The sequence below is a fragment of the Homo sapiens genome, chromosome Y (assembly GCF_000001405.40).
Source record: "Homo sapiens chromosome Y, GRCh38.p14 Primary Assembly".
NCBI classification, from domain to species: domain Eukaryota; kingdom Metazoa; phylum Chordata; class Mammalia; order Primates; family Hominidae; genus Homo; species Homo sapiens.
Window position 1 is genome coordinate 13,229,033 of NC_000024.10, and position 22,683 is coordinate 13,251,715.

The 22,683-nt window shown below is 37.6% G+C and overlaps 1 protein-coding gene and 1 pseudogene across 103 annotated transcripts in view; one reads left to right on the forward strand and one right to left on the reverse strand.

Moving 5' to 3' along the window:
* Positions 1,823 to 2,440, forward strand: DPPA2P1 (developmental pluripotency associated 2 pseudogene 1; annotated as a pseudogene).
* UTY (ubiquitously transcribed tetratricopeptide repeat containing, Y-linked) overlaps positions 4,863 to 22,683 on the reverse strand; it is a 246,776-nt gene continuing 228,955 nt past the window's right edge. For 55 of the 103 annotated variants that reach the window (NR_047613.1, NR_047627.1, NR_047602.1 and 52 more), the window contains 2 exons: positions 21,985 to 22,155; positions 19,347 to 20,850 (listed from right to left, as the gene is read on the reverse strand). Coding sequence is in view for 50 of the 103 variants with exons in the window: in NM_001258265.1 (NP_001245194.1) it covers positions 20,824 to 20,850; positions 21,985 to 22,155 (198 nt within the window). In the remaining 53 variants the exon portion in view is untranslated. Of the gene's footprint in view, positions 22,156 to 22,683 lie in introns of all 103 variants that reach the window. The other 48 variants (NR_047625.1, NR_047626.1, NR_047599.1 and 45 more) reach the window with 8 other exon arrangements.

Genomic DNA, 22,683 nt, shown 5'->3' on the forward strand with positions numbered 1-22,683 from the left:
TTTTTGATTACTGATTCCTTATTGGAATTAACTGAAGGACACCACAGATCCTGCAGAGGAGAAAGTTGGTAAGCAAACGTAATGACAGTAATCTTTTTGTTACTCTGTTTTTTTATGTCAGCCAGGCTGGTTACTCACGCCTGTAATCCCAGCACAGTGGAAGGCTGAGGCAGGAGGATCACCTGAGCTCAGGAGTTCTAGGGCAGCTTGAACATGTCCAATCCCACCTCCATGAAAATTAGCCTGGCACGTGCCTAAGCAAGACTGTCTCCAGGAAAAAAAAAGTTTCTAAGTTTTTATCATTCAATCTTGGTACTTTATGTGTTTATATAAATTTATCAATTTCTTCTATGTTATTTAGTTTATTGGCAAATAATTGCTCACTGCAGTCCCCTTTGATCCCTTTCATATCTCAGCCATTCATTGTGATGTCTCCTCTCTTATTTCTTACTTGAGCCTTTTTTTTTCTTAGTGTGGCTAAGAATTAGTTTTATTTTTCAAAAAGTTAACAGTTTTATTGATTCTTTCTATTCTTCTATTCTCTGATTTCTGGGTAAACTTTGTTATTTCAATTTATTATTGCTTCACTGCTAAGTTTGAACTTTGTTTTCTTCTGAATTACTCAGTATGTTGTATTTTCATTTTCATTTGTTTTGAGCTTTTTTCCCCACTTTTCCTGTTATTGACTTTTTGTTTCTATAGTGATCAGAAAATATATCTCACTATGTTCTCAATCTTCCTAAATTTTAACTTGTCAAGTCTTTTTTTTTTTAAAGTTTTCTGTGTAAATGTTGAACCCATTTTTGAGGGGTATTAAAGTCTACTGCTATTATTATCATTCTGTGCATTTTTTCTTCTGATCTCTTATCACTTGCTTTATGTTTAGAAGTTCTACACATACACACACCCCCCCACACATATATACATATGTATAAAGAAATATTTATATATGTAGATGCGTCTATATATCTATATGTACAGACAAGGATATACACATAAATAAGGATGTGTAAATATATGTATGTAGATGCTAAATATAGATATATAGATACTTCTACATACATGAAGGTTTCTTTAGGCTGAACTTAAAAAACATCATGAACAATCCTCCCACCACCTCCTCCTGAGTAGGTGAAATTAAAGAAATGCACCACAACGCCTGCCTAATTTTTGTATTTTTTGGTAGAGATGGGGGTCTCACTGTTTCCCAGGCAGATCTTGAACTCCTGGACTCAAGTGATCCACCTGCCTGAACTTCCCAAAGTGTTGGGATTACAGGCATGAGCCATTGTGCCTGGCCTAATTTTTTAAAAAAAACATATCACCAAATGGACAAGTTATCCCACTGTCAGATAACGTTATCACATTGTCAGAAAATGAAGGAGAGGAAAAAGATAACGAAAGGAAAACAGAGCTCATCTGGGTAACAGGAAGTAGAAGATATTTGCTTATAAAAGGAGAAACCGGGCTGTGCACAGTGGCTCACGGCTGTAATCCCAGCACTTTGGGAGTCCGAGGCAGGAGAATCATGAGGTCAGGAGTTCAAGACCAGCCTGGCCAATATGGTGGAACCCCGTCTCTCCTAAAAATACAAAAATTAGCCAGGCATGGTGGCAGGCGCCTATAATCCCAGCTACTTGGGAGGCTGAGGCAGGAAAATTGCTTGAACCTGGGAGGCGGCGGTTGCAGTGAGCCAAGATAACCACTCCAGCCTGGGTAACAGAGCATGACTCTGTCTTTAAAAAAAAAAACAACCAAAAAACAAAAAACAGGAGAAATCAGATTCAGAGAAGTAAAATACCATATATCCTTAACATTGCTGTCCTTGCCTTCCCCAGGGTGTTGCTGAAAATGTCAGACTCAAATTTGGATAGCAGCAAGAATTTCTCTGAGGGGGAAGTAGATGATAAGGAAAGTATGATTTTGACATTGGTGCCAGTTAAAGATGATCCAACTATGGAACAAATGAAACCAAGTTGTTTCTTCAATTTCTGATGTCAAACTGGAGAAATTTAAGAAATACAATCAAGGTCATCTACTTCAAACAAATGAACAATTTACAGTGCCACAAAAAACTAGATGAAAAATACTAGCACTTCCCTTGCCATTTTGCCTCCCATTAATAAGGTGTGTTGGGACCCTTTGTGGGATTGCTGTCAACAACTCAGTTTGAGTACTAAAGGCAAGAAAACAGAAGTTAGTCTGAGGCTCCATAGGCATGCTTACCCTGAACAACAGCAAGATATGCTTGAAATGTCACAAGACCAGATTACAGCAACGTTCGAGGAAACGCAAGGCAGTAACCGAGAGAGCACGGCTTCAGAAAAGTTATGAGGTGAATGAGAGAGCAGAAGAGAATAATACAGTTGAAGTGGTAACTTAAGCGCAGGGAGCCATATTGGCGTCAAGTTTTGGCCAATAAAAGGTGGCCAACTGTTCAAATTGTGTTCAAATAAGGCAAATGCTGAGCTGTGACCAATCCAGCTGTTTCTGTACCTCACTTCTGTTTTCTGTAAGTCACTTTCTTTTTCTGTCCATAAATCTTCTTCCACCACGTAGCTGCATTTGAGCATCAGAGCCTACACTGGCTAGGAAGACTGCTCTAAACTTTATGAATTTATTAATTGTTCTTTGCTCAGTTAATTGTTTTAAACACATAGGTAGGTACTTGTATTGCTCTTTTGTTGTTTTCTATTTTATCGTTCTTTTGACCCTCTTCTCTGGCTGTCTCTGTACTTGTTGATTTTTGGTGTGTATGTTTAGTGACATAAAGTTAATTCTTTTCCCTTTTTTCTTTCTGCATTTCCTATTGGTATTTTCTTTGTGGTTACTCTAGAAGCTTACATAAAACATCTTATATCTTAAGCTGATAACTGAACTATAATTGCATCAACACTTTTACCTTTCCTCTGCTTTTATTACATTTTACATTTTTATATGGTGTTCGTTCATTATTATGATTTATGTTAGAACATTATTATATATGCCTATATATTTACCTTTATCAAGGAGTTGTTTCAGTGTTGCTGTTTAGCTTCATTGGTTTCAACCTAATTCCCTTTAGCATTCCTTGTAAGGTAATTTCAGTGATGATGAATACCACCAACTTTTGTCTGAAACCTCTTCATTTCTCTTTTATTTCAGGACAGTTTTGCTGCGTTTCACATTATTGGTTGGCATTTTTCTCCCAACACTTTAAATAAATAATTCCACTATCTTCTGGCCTGCAAGGTTTCAGCTGACAATTCTATTGATAGTTGTATGGAGATTTCCTGCATATGACAAATTGCATTTTTCTTGCTGCTTTCAAATTTCTATTTGGTTTGGACTTTTGACCATTTAATGATAATGTATCTTGGTGTAGACTTGTGGTTCACCTGATTTGGTATCTTTTGAGTATCATGAATCTTGGTCCATTTCTTTCCCCAGAATGAGGAGTTTTGAGCCATGATTCCTTCAAATAAACTATCTTTTTTCTTTCTCCTTCCACGTAAAATTCTCATAATGTGCTATGTTGACTGGCAACGTAAGTGGTGTTCATGAGTCAGACACTTTCCTTAGTCTCTTCATTCTTTACTCCTTTTGCTCTTGGGTGGCTAATTTCAAATTTTATGTTTTAAGAGTTCACATTTCTTTCTTCTGTGTGATTAATTCTGTTGCCCACTCTACTTAATTCTTAAAATTTCAGTTATCGTATTTTTCAGTTCCAGAATGTTTTTTTTTCCTCATAACCATCTTTGTGTCATTCTTTTTGTGTAACACTTTCCTGATTTAATTATCTGTGTGTGTTCTCTTGTATCTCACTCAACTTTTTTACAATGACTATTTTTAATTGTCAGGCAACACATAGATCTCCATTTCTTTATTGTTGGTTGCTAGAGGTATGTTTTATTCTTTTTATTGTGTCTTATTTTTTGACTCTTCATGTTCTGTACAGCTTTGTGTTTGTGTGCATGCATTTGAAGAAACAGTTCTCTGTCTCGTTTTTTTTGACTGGCTTTCATTAGGAAATATATTTTTAAGTCCTCCCAATGAGAAGTTCTGGATCTTTCTCCCTATTTGCCCTGGGCATTCTTGTTTTGTTAGCTGTTTTCAAAAACCTGTAATATCTTCCTCTTAAAAACAATTGTGATTGCATTATACCTATCTGATGTGTGAAGTGAGACAGAAATTGAACTTTTAGTTGGCACAAAGGAATGCTTTGGGGGTATACACTGCTCCTTTCCCTTTCTGGGTAAGAACCCTCAGGCATGCATCACTTTCTAATTTTACATACTTATGCTAGCTGTAAAAATATGCCTCTCTCCTTAGCAGCCCTGGGCATCCATACTGTGTCAATTCTTTCAGTGCTCTCTGGGAGATAAGACAGAAGCTAGAACCTCAAAAAGTGTACCGAAAGACCAAGGACACTGAATCTGCCACAAACTCTCTTTTCCTTCACCCATCTATTTTTGCTGTGAGCTGTCCTGAAACTTGGAAAACAAGCTAAACTAGGTAAAAGAATACTGTTCTTCCTATTCATTTCAGTGCAGCTGGTATCAGTTTGTGATTGTCCAGGGTACTGCAAATGCTTAAAGGACTCTGAGCTTCTCAAAAAGGAATTTTGATAGTTTTAAATCTGTTTATGTGAGGGAAACAACATCTGAAACTTCCTATATTACTGTCTGGCTGATTTGACAATAATTTAAAATAAGGTATGTAAATAGTTTAACAAGCAATTACAAATCTCTTGAAATGAGTAATAAATTTCAGCAAAAAAATGAGTAATAAAAACACCTAATTTAACTACAGAAATAAAAAATACAGGAATTAGAATAAAAGTGTATTGGCTCAATAGTAGAATGTATAATACAGAGGAAAAATTTCAGTGACAAAGACAGAACTTCCTGTTTATTCTAGCTGAACATGAAAGAGAAAATAAGCTGAAAAAAGTGAAGAGAGTTGTGGGACCTGTTGTTTCAGGAACCTTATGGTGTTGCTTTTCTGGCCAGAAACCTCTGTGGGTGGTGGTGCTTTTGCCCAAGTTTTGCTCAGGCCTGCTGGGCTTGCTCCACCCACTCAGCCTGGAAGGCTACACTTGGCTCACATTACTGGCATGGATCCCAGGCCTGCCAAGGGCCAGCCAGATGTGGAGCGGCAAGGGGTGTTTGACCAAGCCAGTGTGGCGACTGGCTACTGCACATAGTCAAGCATGCTGGCTGCTGCACAAGGATGGGCAGCTGTAGGTGCCGGCATAGGCACCAGCTCTCTGTGAGGGTGCAGTTGAAGCAGGCACACCACAAGCAACTTCCACAGCTGCAGTGACAACAGGAAGCTTGGAGACTCCCGAAACCACAAGGTCCTGAAGAGAGATTCACAACCCTGGCTCAAGGAGCTCCCAGGTCTGGACTCTCTGAAGGGCTACAGCTCTTCTCTCCTCTTCACTCACAAGGTAGTGAGCAATGGGCGTGTTAGCCCTGTTTGTTTTACAGCTTTCAGCCCCACCATCCAGCAGCTCCCAAGTTCTTCTCCTTTGGCAGGGAAGAATGAGGAACGTGGACAAATGGAAGGAGAACAAGACAAAGAGAAGCTTTATTGAGTGACAGAATAGCCCTGGATCAGGAAGCTCCTCTCTGGATGCAGGTCTTCTGGTCATCTCTGCAGCTCTCAGCAGAGATGAGGCCCTGGAGTGGGTAGCTCCTTTCTGCAGCTGGTCACCTGATGTCTGCTCAGCTCTGCCTGAACCCAGGGCTTTTATGGGCCGCAGAAGGGAGGAAGTGAATGCCGACTGGTCCATGGGTGGCCATGGGGAGGCCTGGAAAAGGCACCACAAGTTCACATTGGGGTTTGCAGGACTGGCAGGCCAGTTCCCACCCTTCAGGTCCTCCCTGGCCTGAAGGTGGGGCCTCACCAGGGGCCCACCCCCTTGCACTCAGGAACATGTCTGCCTCCTGCTGCCTTTCATGGCACCCAGGATGTATATATCAAGGAACACCTGCAGGTCAGTGCAAGCTGCCCTCAGCCCCCCATCAGCTTCCCTCTTATGCTCATCAGTGCCCAAAGTTCAGAGTGGGCCAAGAAGGTGGAAGGCTGGCATGTCAGTGCTGCCTTGAGCATGAGCACAGCTGGCCGGGCTGACACAATGCCAAGTCTTGGCCCCAACCTTGCTCTGAGATCAGAATAGGCACTTGGGAGCTGGGAGAGGCCAGGCAGCAGGAGCAGACACCTCCAAGCCTGTGGGGGAGGGATCCTTCCTGGGCCCCTGAGAGTGCAGAGATGTCTGGCTCTGCAGCTGTGGGAAGGCTCAAGAGCACAGGGAGGCCCAGGTCCACAGCCATGACTTGGGTGGCTGCAGCTGCACTGGGAAACTCCCACCCCATCAACTTGGAAGTGGGAGGGCGGCGCCCCCACTTGTCCTCAGCTCCCAGTGGCCCTGTGGAGTGTGCAGCTCAGGCAGTAAGTAACTCAAACATCAACATTAAGACATAAGTCAAACATCAACAAATTTAAAAGAACTGAAATAATACACAGTGTATTTTCTGAGCAAAGTCAAACCAAAGTGGAAATCGGTATTATACAAAAATAAAGCCTCCCCACTCCCCACCACTTGGGAATTAAACAGTTCTAAATACATTGATCTAAGAGAAAATCCTAAAGGAAATTTTTAAAATACATAAAACTGAATAAAAATTAAAATACAACATATCAAAATATGCAGGCTATTAGCTGTGAAAAGGGAGTTATTTCACTAAATGCGTGTATAGAAAGAGAGAATTATTATTATTTGAGACAAGGTCCCACTCTGTTGCCTAGGCTGGAGGGCAGTGGCACAATCACAGCTCACTGCAGGCTCAAGGAAGCCTACTGCCTCAATTTCCTGAGAAGCTGCAACTATAGGCATACAACATCATGCCTGTCTAATGTTTTAGTTTTTTATAGAGTTGAGGTCTCATTATATTGTCCAGGCCAGTCCTGAACTCCTGGGCTCAAGCAATCCTGCTGCCTTGGACTCACAAAGTACTGGGTTTACAGGCATGAGGTATTGTGCCTGGTTGAAAACAGTTTAAATTAACTGAAGTAACTATAAAAAGTAACTAAAGAATGAAGAGCAAAACAAACTCAAAAGGGGCTGTGGGTGAGAGGGGGAAGAAAAATCGATGAAATGTGGGGAAAAACAGTAGAATAAATAAAAGAAAATTTTGCTTTAAAAAAACTTGTGAGTGAAATCACAAAATATCAATAAGGAATAAAATACATTACTGCAGATACTATACTACTGAAATTATAATAAAAATACCATGGGGAATTCTGTAACTTAAAAGAAACAATTCTTCAAAACTCACAATCTGGCAAGTCAATCAAGATATAAGAGAAAATCTGAATAGTCTGTGACAACTAAAGACAATGAATTTTTACTTTAAAAGTCCAAAAAAGAAGACCCAGAATAGTATGGCATCACTAGATAATTCGGCCAAGTATTTTAGGAATTAACATCAAGTTTACACAATGTCTTCAGAAACTGGGCAGAACACTTCTCAATTCAAAATAAGGCCTTTCTTACACTGACACAAAACTATAAAAAGACAATATAAACACAGAAAACATCAAGAGTACTCAGGTACATAGGTATAATAATCAACGACATTTTCACAAGCTAAGCTCAGCAAATACAAAATTAAATACGCATGCAACACAAACAGTTGGGATAAGGTTCATCTACGTAAAGCTACTTCAACATTGAAAATCAGTTAATGTAATCTAATAAAAAGAAAAGTCATATGGTTGTTATCAACAGATGCAGAAAAATGAGAGCACTTGAAAGTTTCAACACTCAATGGTAAAACCTGCTAGGAAACTAAGAATAGGATATTCTTAATAAAGAGCATTTCCTTATAAAACTACAGCTAATATCATACTGCTAAGAAATTTTTTTAAAAAAAAGATTGGATACAATAGAAAGCAAGAGTGTCCATTTTCATCATTCTTATTTAACACAATACTGGAAATTCCAACTGCTGTGATAAAGTAAGAAAAATAAACACATGAACAACATATAGAAAGGGAGGAAATAACACTTCTTTCTTGCAGACTGTACACATGGAAAATGTAAAACAATTTACAAAAATCTTTTTTGAACTAATGAATGAGTTCTGCATGATCAGAGGATATTAAATAAACAGAAAAAAGTCAATCATCATTCTGTAGACTAAAGATGAACATGTGGAGATGGAAATTAAAAACCCAATACCACTTACATCTCTCAAAAAGAAATGAAGAAGCCTTCATGATGGCCGACTAGGGGCATTTGCTTTCTCCAATAAGAGAACCAAAGTGAGTAATCATGCATGAACTAGATCATCCAAGAGAGAGCACTGGAAAAGAGGTGATACCTAAAGCAAACAAGAATTAGGTGAGGCAGCCTGCTTGGCCAGGATGGGCTGGGTGCTGAGAGACTTTCCAACAAGGTCAGGGGTCAGTGATCTCCAGGGATCCATGTTCATACCAGGTATCTCTGTAATTCTAGCCACTGGAGAGCTAACCCCACTCAGTGGGCCCTGAAACTAACATAGGGAGCTGCAGAGAGATAGTAGGATGGTACTGCCTTTAAGCATATAGCCTGTGCAGCATCCCTCACATTCCTTGAGACCTAAGCAGTTACAGCAAGGCACACTCTTTGGAACATCATCCCAAACAGACCAGGGACCATCTTTGAAGCCCACAGGAATCAGGGCTGAGGTGCAAGGAATGCATGTGCTGCTGACTCTGGAATTTAGGTATAACCAACCATGGGCTACCTGGGACAAAGGTATGTCCGAGATGCAAAGAAAGTGCCATTCTAGAGCCATGCCCCCAACAGACTCCCTACTGTTCTGGAGCCCAGCAGTGCTGGGGCTGAGGTGCAACAGAAAAGACGGCTGCTGTCCCCAAGACGTAGTTGTGAGCACTACCAGAGCTGAGGCATGAGTAGCACATGTGCTCCCAACATGTGAGCCAAAGCTGCTATCACTGAAACCAGTATTGCCTGCCTAGTGGCAGGGCAATGGCATGAATGCTGCCACCATTCACCTAAGCATTCTGCCAGTGGCCTGAGAATCCCTCTAACCCCTGCTTTCCAGGCCCAGCACATGTACACACTATCAGTCCTCAGGAAAACCCAGCCTGAGCAGGTTTAATCCCCTACCTATGCCCGAGGAAAGTCTGGATCTTGGGTGTGACCCAGCTCAGTCCACCAATGTTGACCCCTGAACACTCCTTGTGGGGGACTCAGGCTGGGTCTTATCCACCTGGTTGCTATAACCACAGCTGATACCTATATGTGTGTATCAGATGTAGGCCTGGAGACTGGCCTCATGAGCTCACTGCAGCCTGATACACACTGCTTGAGGCATCCTTCCACTGTCACTGCCAGCGCCATCATCCATGCCACATCAGGTGTCCAGAGGCCCAAGAACCTACCTACATGCCAAGCTCACAGCTGCCACTATCAGCATCAGAATAAGTCACCTGGGGGCCCAAGCACTGGCCTCCTTGGACACACTAACACTGGTGCCACTGCAGGTCACACTGAAGCCCAAAGAGACAATTGTTGAGTGCACTGCTGCCACCACTAGGGCCTAAAGATGGGCCAGTCTGGCATCCCAGTCCCAGGTAAAACTGCACTACAGCCTCCAATACTAACTGCACCCGCAGAGCCAGTGAAAAAGTCTCAGATACCACTGATGCTCTTTACAATCAAAGAAATCATACAGAGACTATCCTACTGCATGAACCCAGAATCAAAGCCAAAGTGCCTTACCCAACCAATGCCACAGATTCATCCTCAGAAATATGTCCTTCTCTATGAAAGGGAATTAAGAAAATTGGAAGTGATTGATACACCAGTTATGCAGATATCAATGAAAAGACACATGAGAAAGCAAGTTAATATGACATTTCCAAAGGACATAATAATTCTCCAGGAATAGATCCAAATAAAAAATATATACACAAAACGGCAGAACAAGACGGTAGTAATTGTAAAGAAGCTCAGAAAGAAGAACATTTTAAAACACATGTTTAAAAAATCAAAATCAAAAACAAGTCAGTTCATGAATGAGAAGTATACCAAAAAGACACGTCATTAAAAAGAACTAAATCAATTCTGGAACTGAAGAATTCTTTGAATGAAGTACACACTAGGTTTGGAAGCAGCAAGAATTGGCTAGATCAAACAGAAGAAAAAAAAACCTCAGAACTTGAAAACAAGTCTTTTGGAATCAGCAAACCAGGCAAACATTTTTAAAAGAATGAAAAAGAATTACAAAATCTTTACAATATATAGGACACCACAAAGTGACCAAATAAATAAATTACTGGTATCTCGGCATATGAAAAGATAACAAAAGGTTCACAACCTGTTTAGCAAAATAATAAATGAAACTTCCCAAGTCTAGCAAGAGATTTACATATCCAGATACAGGAGATCCCACGATCCCCTCAGATGCGACACAAAAAAAATCTTCTCCATGGCACATTATAGTGAAACTGTCTAAAGTCAATTACAAAGAGAAAATTCTAAGAACATCAAGAGAAAAGTGTCTCGTTATCAATAAAAGAAATCCCAGTAGACGAACAGACTGCTCAGCAGAAACCTTGCAGGAAAGGTTAGAATAAGACGATATAACCAAAGTAATGAAAGAAAACACCTGTCAGCCCAGAATGCTATATCCAGTTCAATTTTCCTTCATAAATGCAGGAGAAATAAAGTCTTCCCCAGATAAGCAAACACTGAGGGAATTCATCACCACTAGATGAATCCTACCAGAATTGCTCAAGGGAGTTCTAAATCTGAAAATGAAAGAACAATATTTGTCATCATAAAAACACATCAAGGTATAAAACTCAATTATAAGAAAACATACAAATAGGAAAGGACTCAAATGGTACCACTACAGATAACTGCCAAATCACAATAGCAATAAGAGAAAAGGAAAGAAATAGGAATACACAAAATCAAAAAACAACAGTATGACAGGTACAGAACCTCACATACCAACATATCAATAACCTTAAATATAAGTGGACTAAATTCCACACTTTATAAAATATATAGACTCTATGGATTAAAAAATATCATCCACTTATATGCTCTCTACAGGAAACTCACTATACCTGAAAAGTCAGCACACAGACTGAAAGTAACGGAGGGAAAATAGCATATGCAAGCCAGAAGTAAGCAGGAGTAGCCATACTTTAAGCCACAGGCAGGTAAAAAAAAAAAAAGACAAAGAAGGTCATTACATACATTATATAATGATAAAGGAATCAATCCAGCAAGAAGAAATAACAGTTCCATATACATGCAACCAGTACTGGAACACCCAGGTTCATAAAGCAAATATTAATTGATCTAAGGAGAGATATTTCAATGCAAGAACAGTGGGCAACTTCAATCCCCACTTGCATTAGACCAGTCATCCAGACAGAAAATCAACAATAAAACACTGGACTTAAGAACAGACATTGGACTAAAAGTACCTAACAGAAACCTACAGAATGGTTTACCCCAAAATTGCAGAGAGCATACTCTTTTCTCATCAGCACATGAAAGATCCTCTAGGACAGACCATGCTGAGCCACAAAACACTTCTGAAAAAATTTTAGAGAGCCAAAATCACATCAAGTATATTCTAGGACCACAGTGGAATAGAACAAGAAATTAAGATTGAGCTCAGTGGCTCATGCCTGTAATCTCAATACTTTGGGAGTCCAAGGCAGGAGGACTGTGTAAGCTCCGGAGTTCGAGACCAGTATGAGCAACATAGCTAGACCTTGTCTCTATTAAAAATTTAAATCAGCTGGGCATGGTGACTTGTGCCTATAGTCACAGCTGCTCAGGGAGCTGAGGTGGGAGGATTGCTTGAGACCAGTGGTCAAGGCTGCAGTGAGCCATGAATAACCCACTGCAGTCCAGAGCAAGACACTGTCTCAAAAAAAAAAAAAAAAATTAACATTAAAAAATTAAAAAGGCTGGGCATGGTGGGTCACATCTGTAAAGCTGGCACTTTGGGAAGCTGAAGTGAGATAATCGCTTGAGCCCAGGAGTTCAAGACCAGCCTCATAAGTGAGACGCTAACTCAATTTAAAAAACTGAAAACAAAAAACCATAAAACCACACAATAGCAACAAGAAAACCCCCACAAAAAACTAGAAATTAATAGCAATAGGAACTGTGGAAACTATACATACATGGCAATTAAATAACATTCTCTTTAACAACAACCACTGGTCAATGAAGAAATAAAGATTAAAATGAAAAAAATTTAAATGAATGAAAATGGAAACAACACACCAAAATATATATATATAACAAAGGCAAGTAAAAAAGAGAAATGTGTAACAATAAGTGCTTACATCAAAATAGTACAAAGATCTCAACTATGCAATCGAATGATGCACTTATTAGAAAAACAAGAATCAACCAACCCAAAAATAGCAGAAGAAAAGAAATAAAGGTGACAGCAAAACTAACAGAAAAAGAGACTAAAAAAGAATACAAAGGATCAATCAACACAAAGTTCGTTCTTGAAAAGACAAAACTGATAAACCACTAGCTAAGCTAACCAAGGAAAGAAGCAAGAAGACCAAATAAAATTAGAAGTAAAAAAGGAAACATTACATCTGATACTAGAGAAATAGAAAAGATCATGAGACATTATTATGAACAAGTATAAACTAATTGCAAAAACTTAGAAGTAATGGATGGATTTCTGGAAACATATAAACTAGCTAGGATGAATCAAGAATAGCGGGGCATGGTGACTCATGCTTGTAAATCCCAGTACTTTGGGAGGCTGAGGCAGGTGGATCATGAGGTCAGGAGTTCAAGATCAGCCTGGCCAAGACGGTGAAACCCTGTTTCTACTAAACACACAAAAATTAGCTGGGCATCTGTAACCCAGCTACTAGGGAGACAGAGGAAGGGAACTGCTTGAACCTGCGAGGCGGAGGTTGCAGTGAGCTGAGATCGTGACACTGTACTCCAGCCTGGGTGACAGAGTGAGATTCCATGTCAAAACAAAAACAAAAACAAAAACAAAAAACAATCAAGAATAAATAAAAAAACGCTGAAGAATAAAAAGTAGTGATATTCATTCAATATTCACAAGTATCTCAACAAAGAAAAGCCCAAGACTAAATGGATTCACTGCTGAATTCTACCAATTATGTAACAAAGAATTAACAGCAATCTTCCTATTTCAAAACACTGAGTAGGAAGGAATTACACTTAACGCATTCTATAAGACCAGCTTTATCTGATACCAAAACCAGAAAACACACAACAAAAATCTATATACCATTAACCTTGAAAAATGTATCCCCTGCTCTTGGCTCAGAGGAATTAATGTCCTTAAATTGAACATACCGCCCCAAACCAGAAAACACACAACAAAAAAGAAAACTACACACTATTATCCCTGATAAATTGCATCGAATTGCATCCCATGCTCACGGATCCAAGGAATTAATGTCAATAAATTGAACATTCTGCTCAAAGCAATCTATAGATTCAATCCAATCCCCACTGAAATATCAATGTCATTTTTCACAGACATAGATAAAACAATCCTAAAATTCATGTGGAACTAGTAACAAAACTGGCTGAATAGCCAAAGCAATCCACAGCAAAAAGAGACATCATACTACCTGACATAAAAATATATTACAGGCTACAATAGCCAAAAGAGCATACTATTGATATAAAAAGACACATAGATCACTGGAAGCAAATTGGATAACCCAAGAATAAATCCAGATATTTATGGCCAAGTGACTTTTTTTTAAACAAAGATGAAAATACATTTGAAAAAGGACACTATCTTTAGTAAACAGTGGTGGGAGAAATTGTAGGTCCAAATGCAATAGAATGAAACTCGATCCCTTTACTTAATGAATTAAAAAAATCACTTCCAGGCTGGGCACAGAGTGCAATCCTAGCACTCTGGAAGGCTGAGGTGAGAAGATCACTTGAACAGCAGTTCGAGACCAGCTTGGCCAACATGATGAAACCCCGTCTCTACTAAAAATACAAAAATTAGCCAGGTGTGGTGGTAGATGCCAGTAGTTCCAGCAGCATGGGAAGCAGAGGAAGGAGAACTGCTTGAACCCAGGAGGTGGAGATTGCAGTGAGCCACGATCGTGCCACTGTACTCCAGCCTGGGTGACTGGAGCAAGACTCCATCTCAAAAAATACAAAATAAAATAAAATAAAAAATATAAAAAATAAATAAAATAAAATAAAATAATAAAATAAGGTAAAATAACCTCCAGATGGATCAGACTTAAAGACCTAAAAGTATACTACTACTAGAAGAAACACAGGGAAAACACTACAGAACACTGACCTAGGCTAAGATTTTATGGCTAAGAGCTCAAAAGCACAGCCAACAAAAACAAAAATAAACAAATGGTACTATATTAAACTAAAAAGCTTCTGCACAGCTAAGGAAACAATCACTGGAGTGAACAGACAACCCACAGAAGGGGAAAAAATATTTGCAAACCATTCGTCTGACAAGAGACAAATAATATCCAGAAAATACAAGCTCATACAACTCATTTATAAAAACAATCCCATTAGAAGGTAGGCAAATTACATGAATGGATAATTCTCAAAGACATACAGACTGCCAAAAGGCATTTAAAACTGCTCAACATGTCTAAGCATGAGGATATTCAAATCAAAACCATAATGAGATTAAAAAAAAATCACAAAAATTAAATAATGTCATTTGGAGAAAATGAATGGAAGTGGAGTTCATTAGTTTACTTTTTTCGAGACAGAATCTTGCCCTGTCTCCCAGGCTAGCGGCAGTGGCACAATCAAGGATCACTGCATCCTTGACCTTCCAGGCTCAAGAGATCCTTCAACTTCCGCCTCCCGGGTAGGTGGCAATACAGACACACGCCATTACACCCAGCTAATTTGTGTATTTTTTGCAGAGGTGGAATTTCACCAGGTTACCCAGGATGATCTCAAATTCCTGGGCTCAAGTAATCCACCTGTCTTGGCTCCCAAACTGCTGGGATTACAGGTATGAGCCACTGAGCCTGGCCCAAGTATATTATGTTAAGTGAAACAACCTAACTGTGGAAAGGTAAACATTGCGTGCTCTCATTCATATGTGGGGGCTAAAAAAAAGATTTTGTAAAGGTAGAGAGTAGAATGATAGTTACCAGAGGCTGAGAAGGATAGATGGCTGGGAGGGAGCTGATAAAGACAAGTAGGTTAATGGGTACAAACATACAGTTAGATAAAATGTATTATGTTTTATCATTCAACAGCAGTATAGATGAATGACTGTAGTTAATAACAATGTATATTTCAAGGGAGAAATAGAAAAGGACTTGAATTTTCCCCAACTCATAGATAAGGTAAGTCCTGAAAGTAATGGACACTCAAAATATTCCGATTTAATAATTACACATTCTATATATGTAACAACATATCACATGTACCCCCATATATATGGGAAATATTATCAACTTAAAAAATAAAATAATCTGTAGGTATAAGATCTGTAAAGGATCTGCATACTGATCATTATAAAAGCTAATGAAAAAAACCAACAAGGACTTAAATAGAGAGAAACACCATATGGACTGGGATACTCAACATATTAAAGATGCCAATTTTCTTAATTTTATTAACCTGTTACTTACATTGCAAGCATATTTATGTAGATATGTATTCTAGATATTAGAACACTGTTGTTTATATAGTTAGCACAACATATCAAAATCATAATAAGGTTTTCTGTAGCCCTAGACAAGCTTATTCTAAAATTTATATAGAAAGGCAAAGACTCTACAATAGGTAAAACAATATTTAAAAAGAATAAAGAATTGCTTTGTCCAATATTAAGACCTATTATATAACCACAGTAATGAAGATAGTGAAGCACTGGCACAAAGATGAACAGATATAAAAATGAAACAGTCTAGAAAACACAAAAATCAACCAACACAAATTCACTCTACTGATACCTTTGAGTTAGAAACAAATGGTCCTGGAGCTTAGACACAAAATGTAAAAACAAAACAATATTGCTGTATGCCTTACGATTTATAGAAAAAATTAACTCAAAATGGATTATGAATATAAACGTAAAATCTAAAAAATTAATCCACAGGGAAATATCTTTGAGTTCTAGGTATAAGTACCTTATTTCACTGAAGCTGCTCAGGTTAACATCACAGCAACCTTGCACTAACCCGAAGAGATCTCTTTTTCTATCTTTTCAGAATAATATAGACATGGTTTTCAAAATATTTACTCTTCCTGATCTTTTAGCTCGTTTTCCCTCCCCTTTATGTGATGCCACAAGGTGGACTTGTACTCTCCTCACTTGTAGATTCACTAACTTGCATTTCTAAATTTGAGATTCACATATCCATCTGTTCCTTTCTAAATCAATTAACATCACTTAGATGTCACTATAATCTTCTGCTCTGTCCTTTCTGGATTGTGTCTTGTTAGAAGGACACTTCTCCACCAGGAAGATAATGGGATCTGTGAACTTTATTCCTTAAAATGTTTCCAAAATTTGTGCCTTTACTTCCATTCCACAAAATGAAAATTCCAAGTACTAAGCATTTCTTCCCTGGACTTTTAGTCTTAGATATATTCCCCTGGGATATGTGTAAAGAACAAATGCAGCATTGAAACAAATGGGAGTGTGACAGAAGAAAGATTTTGCAAACTTATTGATTCTTTTATATAAAACCAGTCAATAGCTCTGTTACTAACTACAAGAACAGTCAGAAAGTCTTAACATGACTGAGGAGTTTTGCACCATCAGATCCCTTCTCCAGTTACCTGTTTACGCAGCTAATGTCTTAGTTATGACAAAGAACGTGAGGTCCCCAAACATTCATGTTATGAAGTGTGAATGTAGATGACTTAATACTTTTCTTTTTTTTGAGATGGAGTCTCCCTCTGTCACCCAGGCTGGAGTGCAGTGGTACGGTCTCAGCTCACTGCAAGCTCTGCCTCCCAGGTTCAAGTGATTTTCCTGCCTCAGCCTCCCAAGAAGCTGGCAGTACAGGCATGCGCCACCATGCCTGGCTAATTTTTGTACTTTTATGAGAAGGGATTTCGCTATGTTGGCCAGGCTGGTCTCAAACTCCTGACCACAGGTGACTTCGGCCTGCCTCAGCCTCCCAAAATGCTGGGGTTACAGGTGTGAGCCACAGTGTCCAGACAACTCTTGAACACAAACTGTAATAGTACTCTTTTTGTTATTTATTTCCATGTATGTCCCATATTAGATGGTAAAAGCCTTGTGCATATGGAGTGTAGAGGACAAGTTCACATCTTTTCCATATTTGTCTATTAGGAGAAGCTAATTAGAACATGTCTTAAATAAAAATATGTCATAGTAACTTAATGGCTAACAAAAAGGCTCAAATATTTAGGAGGAATAGACTCTTTACACTAAAATTATGTAATCACAATCTTAAGTTGATATATACTAGTATCTTGAACATCCTAGTTTGCAATTTATTACTTTGGAAAAGCAGCCAAGGTTTATATTAAAATACAGAAGCATGCTGGGTGCAGTGGCTCACACCTATAATCCTAGCACTTTGGGAGGTTGACACGGGTCAACCTGAGGTCATGAGTTTGAGACCAGCCTGCCTAACATGGCAAAACCCCTTCTCTACTAAAAAATACAAAAAATTAGCCCAGTGGGGTGGCCTGTAATCCCAGCTACTCGGGAGGCTGAGGCAGGAGAATCGCTTGAACCCAAGAGGCAGTGGTTGCAGTAAGCCGAGACTGTGCCACTGCACTCCAGCCTAGGCAACAAGAGTAAAACTCTGTCTCAGGAAAAAAAAAAAAAAAAAAAAAAAAAAAGCAGAAGCCGAGATTTCTGGTAACAACCAGATTAAGCAAGCCACATTATATATACATGGCAGAAATGCAAATCAATCTAAGAAAACTTCATGTTTAATTGCTGAGAAAAAGGATATGGCTGTTTTCCACATAGTTCTTGTTTTCTTTTGGGAAAAGTATCTGTTTTATGCAACTACTGGATTATTTTCTGAACAATGTGTGTGCTATAAATTTCTTTTATTGAAAGGCATGTAGGTAGGGTCAGCTTGAGCAACTTCACACCTCCAGCAGTAAAAAGGACAACAAAAAGAATCTTTTTTTTTTAAATCTCCAAAATGCAACTTACAAAGGTGATAAATTGATTACAGTAGATAACAGAACTTCATTTATCTAGATTAATTCCAAACTAGTGATATATTTGATTTTCAGTTTTGGTTTTCTGCCTATTTAAAGAGTGTAAGCTTCTGAAAAGTATTACTCTCAATGGATAATCCAAATATGCATTAGAAAACATGTAAAAGGGCTAGGTGCAGTGGCTCATGCCTGTAATCTCAGCATTTGGGGAGACTGAGGAAGGTGGATCATGAGGACAGGAGTTCGAGACCAGCCTGGCTAATATGGTGAAACCTTGTTTCTACTAAAAATACAAAAAAAATTAGCTGGGTGTGGTGATGCACACCTGTAGTCCCAGCTACTCGGGAGGCTGTGACAGAAGAGCTTGAACCCAGGAGCTTGAACCCAGGAGGCAGAGGTTGCAGTGAGCCAAGATCACTCCACTGCACTCCAGCCTGGGTGACAGACTGAGATTCCATCTCAAAAAACAAAAACAAAAACAAACAACAATAACAAAAGAAGTGTAAAAGATAAACAGGTAAAGTCATTTTCATGACTAGGTCAATTCTGTAAATTCAACATATAGTAATCCTAGCCATAAATCATCTTAAAGAGTTAAGACATAAGATGTTACGTTAGTAATACAAAACAACCGGTTAAGAAAAGTTCAGGTATAGCTCTGGTATTCTAGATGTTTCCTGATGGTTGATCTGTAGTTTTTGTTTGAGAGGGGTAAAAAAAAGTCCTGAATTTTAATCTCAATGATTTCTGAACAAGAAAATTTACAAGAAAATTACAAAAATATCAGCATTTAAAATATCTAGAAGTACTTATGATTTTTCTTCCTTAATTACAAATTGCATTTTTTTTTCTGAAATTAGGTATGTGATGATTACTGCTAACAGATTTCAACTACCTAACTTAATAAAATATCTTCATGAGTTTTCTAACAACTATTTCTAGGAAGCCAAAATATTCCAAACTTGTCTGAAGAAAGTACTGCAATAATGCAATGATCAAGACATTTCACCTGATAAGACTATAACTTCCCTTTTGATATTTAAATAGCTTCTATTAAAGCATTCTATGATTCTTCACTAAAGTTCTCTGGAAAGCTGTTACAAAGAAGAATGTGATTAAATAAAAATGCTTCAGAAAGGAGAGGTAGAAAAGACAAGTATTATTATCAAATGAGTTAATATTAAATTAGCAAATTTTTCATATGAAATACAAGTTTTAATAGAACTTATTACAATTTACTAGCGATATAGATTTTTTAATACTTTCCTCCCCTTCACCCCAAACCATGTTGTACAAGCAGGACAGTATAGCATTTCAAAGTCATCTAGCTTTAAAAAAATAAGTCACTTATTTGTTCTCTAAAAGAGGTTATCATTCTGAATCTCTTTTCCATAAGAAACTCTTAATTATAAACAACATTTATCAAATCTATATAATGTTTCCTTTAAAATATTTACTTCACTGACTATATGTTTTCTACTGTTATAAAATACAATTTTCCAGCAATTATTTATGGGCTATCACTATGGTGACTACAACTTAATAAATCACACTAAAAGACATTTACTTTAAAAACAGCAAACTTCCGTAATACTTTATAATAGGCACCTCAAAAACTACCATAGATGTAAAAAATAAAACTTTTAAAATCTATACAATTATATATCGAGGTTTCTGTATATATTATACATGTGTGTACACATACACACACATATAAAATACATATAATCATTAGGTTTGAAAATGAACAAAAAGTGGATTTTTTCAGAAAGTCTTTTTTAAACTCAAACATTGGGAAACCCTTTAAACATTTAACAATTTTAATAAAAATTTCTGTATAATACTAAGCAGTTTTATCTACACATATAAAATGTAATAGGAGTAGTGTTTAAAACTACAGAACTCCTTAGTATTTAATGGCAGTTACGTCTGGAAAAAAACAACATTCCATTCACAAATATTTTCAGGCAATAAATACGTATTTATAAATAGTGTAAATCTGTATCAAGTTTAGAAACAAAAATCACAAATCTGAAGTTTATTTCTTTGTCTATGTGCAATCCATTATCTTTGTATATGGGCTATTAATATTTAAAAAAATTATTTTGGAACCACAAATGTAATCATCATGGCCTCAAAACACACAAAAACATAAAGCAGTAAAAAACTTCCTCAGATAATAGTACACATTTTTTAAAAGCTGATCGAGGAGAGATTTAAATTTGCTATCTTATGAAGAAATGACCAGCTAGGAAAGTGTTTTTAACTAAGGAAAATTCTGCAGGGTTAAAATACAAATGAATATTAATTCATCAGCCCAGAAATAGAGAAACATAAAAAAGGCTATCTTCAAATCAGTATTCTGTGTCACTTTGACAGTTTGTCATACGTACACAAAACATATGATTAATATTATTTTTCTGAAGTACAGCTGGATCAGCATGTTAAGTCCTGAAGCAGAGGCAGCACTGTGTCCAGTTGCTTGACATACTATTCTTGGAAGGTTGCATAGACATAGCTTTTAGTCAACAGTTTTATGAAACAGCTACAAAACCAGTGGTGCAGAAATTTCCTGAAGAGCAGAAATAATCTCATTTAATATTCATGGAACTATATCAAGATGAGGATGATAATGAAAGAGCCTAGAAATAAAAGTTAAGATTTTGTTATATAAATCCTTAATAGTGTTTGCTAGCTTATGACTATAAAAGACAGCCTTTTTATGAAGTGAGTTTACAAGATACATGAAATCTCAACAGTTTCCTAAGAGAGATGCTCTTTTCTTTTTTTTCTTTTTGAGACAGAGTTTTGCTCTTGTTGCCCAGACTGGAGTGCAATGGCGCGATCTCGGCTCACCGCAACCCCTGCCTCTTGGATTCAAGCAATTCTCGTGCCTCAGCCTCCGAGTAGCTGGGATTATAAACATCCACCACCTTGCATGGCCAATTTTGTATTTTTAGTAGAGATGGGGTTTCTCCATGTTGGTTAGGCTGGTCTTGAACTCCTGACCTCAGGTGATCTGCCCGCCTTGGACTCCCAAAGTGCTGGGATTACAGGCATGAGACACTGTGCTCAGTTGAGATGCTCTTACTTTCTTCATTAGAATCAGTTAAGAGTGCGGCGCTATTACCTCCATTTTTCATCATTTAGTGAACAACGTTTGGAATACTGTTAAAAGTTAACCAATTTTTTAGATTGCTAAAAGAAAAGTTGTGTGGAAAAATAATTTTAAAGTAAATTAAAATTTCACTAGCAATTGGCTTATGAAAATGCCACAGCTAGATGACACTGAACATATTTTTCATGAGGCTTATATATCATATAATCTAGTCAAGCAAGCTCCATCAAGTAGTGCTATCAGGCAAACTCTTCTGGAATCTTTAAACCACAAAGTACATGAAAAAAACCCACACATTTCTTTCAGATAATTACTACAGAAGAATTAAGTAACCTACATGTACAAAGGTTTTATAAGTTATGTAAGTAACATAAAAACTAAAAAATATTCTAAAAACATACAGACATTTACAAATGTAATTAGTGTAACTATTCTTTGGGGGCATTCTCACTGAGAAGCAAAAATGGTAATAAACAGTTTCATATAGAAAAACTAACGTGAAATACGAGGATGGCTACTAATATTTTTCCTTACAAAGTATATACTGCACCAATGGAAAATTTAAGTTTCTTCTTAACACATTTTTATCAGTTAGCAAAGTCAAAGACCATTGCTTTAAACCCACCTAATTAAGTGTACTCACGTGTTAATGACTTACTAGTGTAAATTGATCATAAACTTGGATTAGGTCCTCCATTTTGTACTGTTCGAGCACCACAAAATTTTCCAAACTTTTGCTTGTTTTTCGTGCACAATCATGGCAATGTACTATGTAGGTTTTTTGAGTATTGCTTTCATTAGTGACAAAAAGCAGATTAAAAACCTCCACCTATATTAAATAAATAAATAAACAAAAAGTATTGGACAGTGATATCTGAATTTATTTCAGCACTTTAACCATGGGGATTCTACTTCACATGGAACTGGACAATGATTTTTGGTTAAATCCAAGTACTTAAAAAAACAAAACAAGACTATGGTTGTGAGTTTGAGACACTAGGTTTTGTTTTGTAGCACACCCAGAGAAAAGGATAATGTTAGATATTTAGAGATTGTCTTTAAAGAAATTAAATAGTCATTATGACCATTCACTAAAGTGTAATTCAAGGTTTGATAAAGGTCAGTGTATTTTTATTTTACCAAAATACCAGTGCACCATCAGATAAAAGTGACCATTATTTGCTTTTCACTTTTCTGTGAGAGTACTCATAGTTGTTCTGTGTCTGAAGGACTGCGTTCCCCAAATGACTGAGTCCACAGTCATTCATTTTTGATGTCTAGGGCACATTATTGTGGTTAATTTTCACTGAAGCTAAAACTACAATTAAAAAAACTTGGAATATGCATGTAATGTGAT